The sequence below is a fragment of the Homo sapiens genome, chromosome 18 (assembly GCF_000001405.40).
Source record: "Homo sapiens chromosome 18, GRCh38.p14 Primary Assembly".
Classification (NCBI taxonomy): Eukaryota; Metazoa; Chordata; class Mammalia; order Primates; family Hominidae; genus Homo; species Homo sapiens.
This window is the reverse complement of record NC_000018.10, coordinates 4,471,453-4,479,600: the sequence shown is the minus strand read 5'-3', so window position 1 is coordinate 4,479,600 and position 8,148 is coordinate 4,471,453. Positions and strand designations below refer to the sequence as shown.

The 8,148-nt window shown below is 40.4% G+C and overlaps 1 annotated feature.

The window, feature by feature from the left end:
* Positions 1,368-2,010: an enhancer, noted in NCBI's record as "NANOG-H3K27ac-H3K4me1 hESC enhancer chr18:4477591-4478233 (GRCh37/hg19 assembly coordinates)". NCBI's record gives its function as "activates a minimal SCP1, AML or CMV promoter by ChIP-STARR-seq in primed H9 embryonic stem cells {active_cell/tissue: H9 hESC(primed)}" and the evidence as "EXISTENCE:reporter gene assay evidence [ECO:0000049][PMID:30033119]".

Below are 8,148 nucleotides of genomic sequence, written 5' to 3'. Positions count from 1 at the left end.
CACTGCGTTCCTGACTCAGTTGCACAGTTTCTCCTTCACGACTTTTACCTTTATTTTGCTGGATTACAACCTCAAAAAATTTCCTCATAAAGGGTATATTAAAAGTGAACTTATTGGTTAGGCGTGGTGGCTCACATCTGTAATCTCAGCACTTTGGGAGGCTGAGGCAGGCGGATCACCTGAGGTCAGGAGTCCGAGACCAACCTGGTCAACATGGTGAAACCACACCTCTACTAAAAATCCAAAAAAAAATTAGCCAGGCGTGGGGCATATGGCTGTAATCCCAGCTACTTGGGAGGCTGAAGCAGGAGAGTCACTTGAGGCAGAGGTCGCAGTGAGCCAAGACCTCGCCATTGCACTCCAGCCTGGGCAACAAGAAAGAAATTCCATCTCAAAGAAAAATAAAAAATAAAAAAGTGAACTTCTCCATTGCTGCAAGAATTACATCATCTTTATTGCATCCACAGTTGAGTACCAGTTTGATCATGTATAGATTTGCAGGTTAACTGTCAGTGGGATTTTGATTGTGTTGTAAGACTTATATTCTCTCTTTCTCTCTGTCTCTCTCTCTGTCTCTGTCTCTTTCTCAGATTTTAGGGTATGTATTTATTCTTAGTGCTATAAAATTTCACAGGGATGTATATATGTATGGGATTTTTAGACCCCTCTTTCTACACATTCTGGGAATCCTTTTTATTTTGCTTGTACTTTTTTTAACCAACCAAATTATGGCGTTTCTTATCATTCTCTTCATTATTTTAGCTTTCACTCTTTAAATTAGTATACAATAGAATTCACTGTGGTATATAGTTCTATGAGTTTTGAGGACAGTATAAACAAGACAACCAAGATATAAAACTGCTCTGTTGTTCCAAATGTTCCCTGTGCTGCTGCTTTGTAAGTTAACTCCTCCACCTATCTGCAACTTCTGACAACCTGTGATGTGTTCCCCATTCCTACAAATTTATCATAGGAATATAATCATACAATATGTAGGCATTTGAGTTAAGCTTCTTTCACTTAATATGATGCCGTTCAGATTCATCTGTGTTTTGTGTGTCATGAGCTTGTCTTATATTATTACTAAGTAGTATTCCACTGTATGAATGTACTAGAGTTTTTTTAATCCCTTCACCAATTAAAGGACGTTGAGTTATTTTTAGTTTTGAAAAACTGTGAATAAAGCTGCTTGTAAACAGTCACATATATATGTTTGTACAAATACAGGTTTTCATTTCATTAGGAGAAATACCTAGAAGATTTGTTCTTTATATGGTAAGCATATGTTTAAATATGTATGAAACTGATACACTCTTATAAAGTGCTGTAACATTTTGCATTCTTACCAGCCATGCATGTAAACACCTGCCATTCTACCTCCTCACTAGCATTTGGAATTGTGCCCTGTTATTAATCTTAAATATTGGTGTGGATGTCCTTTCTGTTTGTTACTTTTCCTTCTAACAGACAGGACCCTCAGCTGCAGGTCTGTTGGAATACCCTGCCGTGTGAGGCGTCAGTGTGCCCCTGCTGGGGGGTGCCTCCCAGTTAGGCTGCTCGGGGGTCAGGGGTCAGGGACCCACTTGAGGAGGCAGTCTGCCCGTTCTCAGATCTCCAGCTGCGTGCTGGGAGAACCACTGCTCTCTTCAAAGCTGTCAGACAGGGACATTTAAGTCTGCAGAGGTTACTGCTGTCTTTTTGTTTGTCTGTGCCCTGCCCCCAGAGGTGGAGCCTACAGAGGCAGGCAGGCCTCCTTGAGCTGTGGTGGGCTCCACCCAGTTCGAGCTTCCCGGCTGCTTTGTTTACCTAAGCAAGCCTGGGCAATGGCGGGCGCCCCTCCCCCAGCCTCGCTGCCGCCTTGCAGTTTGATCTCAGACTGCTGTGCCAGCAATCAGCGAGACTCCGTGGGGTAGGACCCTCCGAGCCAGGTGTGGGATATAATCTCGTGGTGTGCCATTTTTTAAGCCGGTCCGAAAAGCGCAATATTTGGGTGGGAGTGACCCGATTTTCCAGGTGCGTCCGTCACCCCTTTCTTTGACTCAGAAAGGGAATTCCCTGACCCCTTGCGCTTCCCAAGTGAGGCAATGCCTCGCCCTGCTTCGGCTCGCGCACGGTGCGCGCACCCACTGACCTGCACCCACTGTGTGGCGCTCCCTAGAGAGATGAACCCGGTACCTCAGATGGAAATGCAGAAATCACCCGTCTTCTGCGTCGCTCACGCTGGGAGCTGTAGACCGGAGGTGTTCCTATTCGGCCATCTTGGCTCCTCCCAATCCAAACCCATCTGTACATCACCATCATCAAAGACCAAAAGTAGATAAAACCACAAAGATGGGGAAAAAACAGAACAGAAAAACTGGAAACTCTAAAACACAGAGCGCCTCTCCTCCTCCAAAGGAACGCAGTTCCTCACCAGCAATGAAACAAAGCTGGATGGAGAATGACTTTGACGAGCTGAGAGAAGAAGGCTTCAGACGATCAAATTACTCTGAGCTACGGGAGGACATTCAAACCAAAGGCAAAGAAGTTGAAAACTTTGAAAAAAATGTAGAAGAATGTATAGCTAGAATAACCAATACAGAGAAGTGCTTAAAGGAGCTGATGGAGCTGAAAACCAAGGCTCGAGAGCTACGTGAAGAATGCAGAAGCCTCAGGAGCCGATGTGATCAACTGGAAGAAAGGGTATCAGCGATGGAAGATGAAATGAATGAAATGAAGCGAGAAGGGAAGTTTAGAGAAAAAAGAATCAAAAGAAATGAGCAAAGCCTGCAAGGAACATGGGACTATGTGAAAAGACCAAATCTACGTCTGATTGGTATACCTGAAAGTGATGGGGAGAATGGAACCAAGTTGGAAAACACTCTGCAGGATATTATCCAGGAGAATTTCCCCAATCTAGCAAGGCAGGCCAACGTTCAGATTCAGGAAATACAGAGAACGCCACAAAGATACTCCTCGAGAAGAGCAACTCCAAGACACATAATTGTCAGATTCACCAAAGTTGAAATGAAGGAAAAAATGTTAAGGGCAGCCAGAGAGAAAGGTCGGGTTACCCTCAAAGGGAAGCCCATCAGACTAACAGCGGATCTCTCGGCAGAAACCTTATAAGCCAGAAGAGAGTGGGGGCCAATATTCAACATTCTTAAAGAAAAGAATTTTCAACCCAGAATTTCATATCCAGCCAAACTAAGCTTCATAAGTGAAAGAGAAATAAAATACTTTACAGACAAGCAAATGCTGAGAGATTTTGTCACCACCAGGCCTGCCCTAAAAGAGCTCCTGCAGGAAGCGCTAAACATGGAAAGGAAAAACCGGTACCAGCCGCTGCAAAATCATGCCAAAATGTAAAGACCATTGAGACTAGGAAGAAACTGCATCAACTAACGAGCAAAATCACCAGCTAACATCATAATGACAGGATCAAATTCACACATAACAATATTAACTTTAAATGTAAATGGACTCAATGCTCCAATTAAAAGACACAGACTGGCAAATTGGATAAAGAGTCAAGACCCATCAGTGTGCTGGATTCAGGAAACCCATCTCACGTGCACAGACACACATAGGCTCAAAATAAAAGGATGGAGGAAGATCTACCAAGCAAATGGAAAACAAAAAAAGGCAGGGGTTGCAATCCTAGTCTCTGATAAAACAGACTTTAAAGCAACAAAGATCAAAAGAGACAAAGAAGGCCATTACATAATGGTAAAGGGATCAATTCAACAAGAAGAGCTAACTATCCTAAATATATATGCACCCAATACAGGAGCACCCAGATTCATAAAGCAAGTCCTGAGTGACCTACAAAGAGACTTAGACTCCCACACGTTAATAATGGGAGACTTTAACACCCCACTGTCAACATCAGACAGATCAACGAGACAGAAAGTCAACAAGGATACCCAGGAATTGAACTCAGCTCTGCACCAAGAGGACCTAATAGACATCTACAGAACTCTCCACCTCAAATCAACAGAATATACATTTTTTTCAGCACCACACCACACCTATTCCAAAATTGACCACATACTTGGAAGTAAAGCTCTCCTCAGCAAATGTAAAAGAACAGAGATTATAACAAACTATCTCTCAGACCACAGTGCAATCAAACTAGAACTCAGGATTAAGAATCTCACTCAAAACCGCTCAACTACATGGAAACTGAACAACCTGCTCCTGAATGACTACTGGATACATAACGAAATGAAGGCAGAAATAAAGATGTTCTTTGAAACCAACGAGAACAAAGACACCACATACCAGAATCTCTGGGACGCATTCAAAGCAGTGTGTAGAGGGAAATTTATAGCACTAAATGCCCACAAGAGAAAGCAGGAAAGATCCAAAATTGACACCCTAACATCACAATGAAAAGAACTAGAAAAGCAAGAGCAAACACATTCAAAAGCTAGCCGAAGGCAAGAAATAACTAAAATCAGAGCAGAACTGAAGGAAATATAGACACAAAAAACCCTTCAAAAAATTAATGAATCCAGGAGCTGGTTTTTTGAAAGGATCAACAAAATTGATAGACCGCTAGCAAGACTAATAAAGAAAAAAAGAGAGAAGAATCAAATAGACACAATAAAAAATGATAAAGGGGATATCACCACCAATCCCACAGAAATACAAACTACCATCAGAGAATATTACAAACACCTCTACGCAAATAAACTAGAAAATCTAGAAGAAATGGATAAATTCCTCGACACATACACTCTCCCAAGACTAAACCAGGAAGAAGTTGAATCTCTGAATAGACCAATAACAGGAGCTGAAATTGTGGCAATAATCAATAGTTTACCAACCAAAAAGAGTCCAGGACCAGATGGATTCACAGCCGAATTCTACCAGAGGTACAAGGAGGAACTGGTACCATTCCTTCTGAAACTATTCCAATCAATAGAAAAAGAGGGAATCCTCCCTAACTCATTTTATGAGGCCAGCATCATTCTGATACCAAAGCCGGGCAGAGACACAACCAAAAAAGAGAATTTTAGACCAATATCCTTGATGAACATTGATGCAAAAATCCTCAGTAAAATACTGGCAAAACGAATCCAGCAGCACATCAAAAAGCTTATCCACCATGATCAAGTGGGCTTCATCCCTGGGATGCAAGGCTGGTTCAATATACGCAAATCAATAAATGTAATCCAGCATATAAACAGAGCCAAAGACAAAAACCACATGATTACCTCAATAGATGCAGAAAAAGCCTTTGACAAAATTCAACAACCCTTCATGCTAAAAACTCTCAATAAATTAGGTATTGATGGGACGTATTTCAAAATAATAAGAGCTATCTATGACAAACCCACAGCCAATATCATACTGAATGGGCAAAAACTGGAAGCATTCCCTTTGAAAACTGGCACAAGACAGGGATGCCCTCTCTCACCACTCCTATTCAACATAGTGTTGGAAGTTCTGGCCTGGGCAATTAGGCAGGAGAAGGAAATAAAGGGTATTCAATTAGGAAAAGAGGAAGTCAAATTGTCCCTGTTTGCAGATGACATGATTGTATATCTAGAAAACCCCATTGTCTCAGCCCAAAATCTCCTTAAGCTGATAAGCAACTTCAGCAAAGTCTCAGGATACAAAATCAATGTACAAAAATCACAAGCATTCTTATACACCAACAACAGACAAACAGATAGCCAAATCATGAGTGAACTCCCATTCACAATTGCTTCAAAGAGAATAAAATACCTAGAAATCCAACTTACAAGGGATGTGAAGGACCTCTTCAAGGAGAACTACAAACCACTGCTCAAGGAAATAAAAGAGGATACAAACAAATGGAAGAACATTCCATGCTCATGGGTAGGAAGAATCAAAATCGTGAAAATGGCCATACTGCCCAAGGTAATTTACAGATTCAATGCCATCCGCATAAAGCTACCAATGACTTTCTTCACAGAATTGGAAAAAACTACTTTAAAGTTCATATGGAACCAAAAAAGAGCCCGCATCGCCAAGGCAATCCTAAGCCAAAAGAACAAAGCTGGAGGCATCACACTACCTGACTTCAAACTATACTACAAGGCTACAGTAACCAAAACAGCATGGTACTGGTACCAAAACAGAGATATAGATCAATGGAACAGAACAGAGCCCTCAGAAATAACACCGCATATCTACAACTATCTGATCTTTGACAAGCCTGAGAAAAACAAGCATTGGGGAAAGGATTCCCTGTTTAATAAATGGTGCTGGGAAAACTGGCTAGCCATATGTAGAAAGCTGAAACTGGATCCCTTCCTTACACCTTATACAAAAATCAATTCAAGATGGATTAAAGACTTAAACCTTAGACCTAAAACCATAAAAACCCTAGAAGAAAACCTAGGCATTACCATTCAGGACATAGGCATGGGCAAGGACTTCATGTCCAAAACACCAAAAGCAATGGTAACAAAAGACAAAATTGACAAATGGGATCTAATTAAACTAAAGAGCTTCTGCACAGCAAAAGAAACTACCATCAGAGTGAACAGGCAACCTACAAAGTGGGAGAAAATTTTCACAACCTACTCATCTGACAAAGGGCTAATATCCAGAATCTACAATGAACTCAAACAAATTTACAAGAAAAAAACAAACAACTCCATCAAAAAGTGGGCGAAGGACATGAACAGACACTTCTCAAAAGAAGACATTTATGCAGCCAACAGACACATGAAAAAATGCTCATCATCACTGGCCATCAGAGAAATGCAAATCAAAACCACAATGAGATACCATCTCACACCAGTTAGAATGGCAATCATTAAAAAGTCAGGAAACAACAGGTGCTGGAGAGGATGTGGAGAAATAGGAACACTTTGACACTGTTGGTGGGACTGTAAACTAGTTCAACCATTGTGGAAGTCACTGTGGCGATTCCTCAGGGATCTAGAACTGGAAATACCATTTGACCCAGCCATCCCATTACTGGGTATATACCCAAAGGACTACAAATCATGCTGCTATAAAGACACATGCACACGTATGTTTATTGTGGCATTATTCACAATAGCAAAGACTTGGAACCAACCCAAATGTCCAACAATGATAAACTGGATTAAGAAAATGTGGCACATATACACCATGGAATACTATGCAGCCATAAAAAATGATGAGTTCATGTCCTTTGTAGGGACATGGATGAAATTGGAAGTCATCATTCTCAGTAAACTATCGCAAGAACAAAAAACCAAACACCGCATATTCTCACTCATAGGTGGGAATTGAACAATGAGATCACATGGACACAGGAAGGGGAATATCACACTCTGGGGACTGTGGTGGGGTGGGGGGAGGGGGGAGGGATAGCATTGGGAGGTATACCTAATGCTAGATGACAAGTTAGTGGGTGCAGCGCACCAGCATGGCACATGTATACATATGTAACTAACCTGCACAATGTGCACATGTACCCTAAAACTTAAAGTATAATAAAAAAAAAAATCTTAAATATTCTGTGTGTATCACATTATGTTTTTAACATTCATTTCTCTAATGACTAATGACTTTGAGCTTTTAGTCATGGACTAATTTACCATCTGTATATCTTCTTTAGTGAAGTATCTGTTCATATGTTTTATCCAGTTTGTAATTGGGTAGTTTCTTTTCTGAATATTGAGTTTGGGGTGTTTTTCATGTATTCTAGATACAGTTTTTTTCAGCTATGTGTTATGCAAAAGTTTCTCTTAGGCTGTGCCTTAGGTTTTAATTAGCTTATTGTGTCTTTCATGTTGCAAAAGTTTTTCATTATGATAAAGTCCAATTTTTTTTATGGATTGTGTTTTTGGTATTAAAACTAAGAACTCTTCACCCAACCCAACATTCCGTTGATTTTATCTTATATTTTTGTCTAGAATTTATACAGTTTTAAGTTTATATTTAGTTCTATGATCCATTTTGAGTTCACATTTGTATATGGTGTGAAGCATAAATCAAAATTCTTTTTGTTTTATATACAGATATCCAGATCAAGTCCTTTAATAGCACTTATTTGAGGGTCAATGCTCCATTGTATTTTTTCTTCAAGGGTTGCCATTTTAGAATGGCAATACCATTATTAGGCTAAGGCATGTGTATTTTTTCTCCAGAGAATACTGGATTCTCTCTTCTTTTTTTTTTTTTTTTTTTTTGACGGAA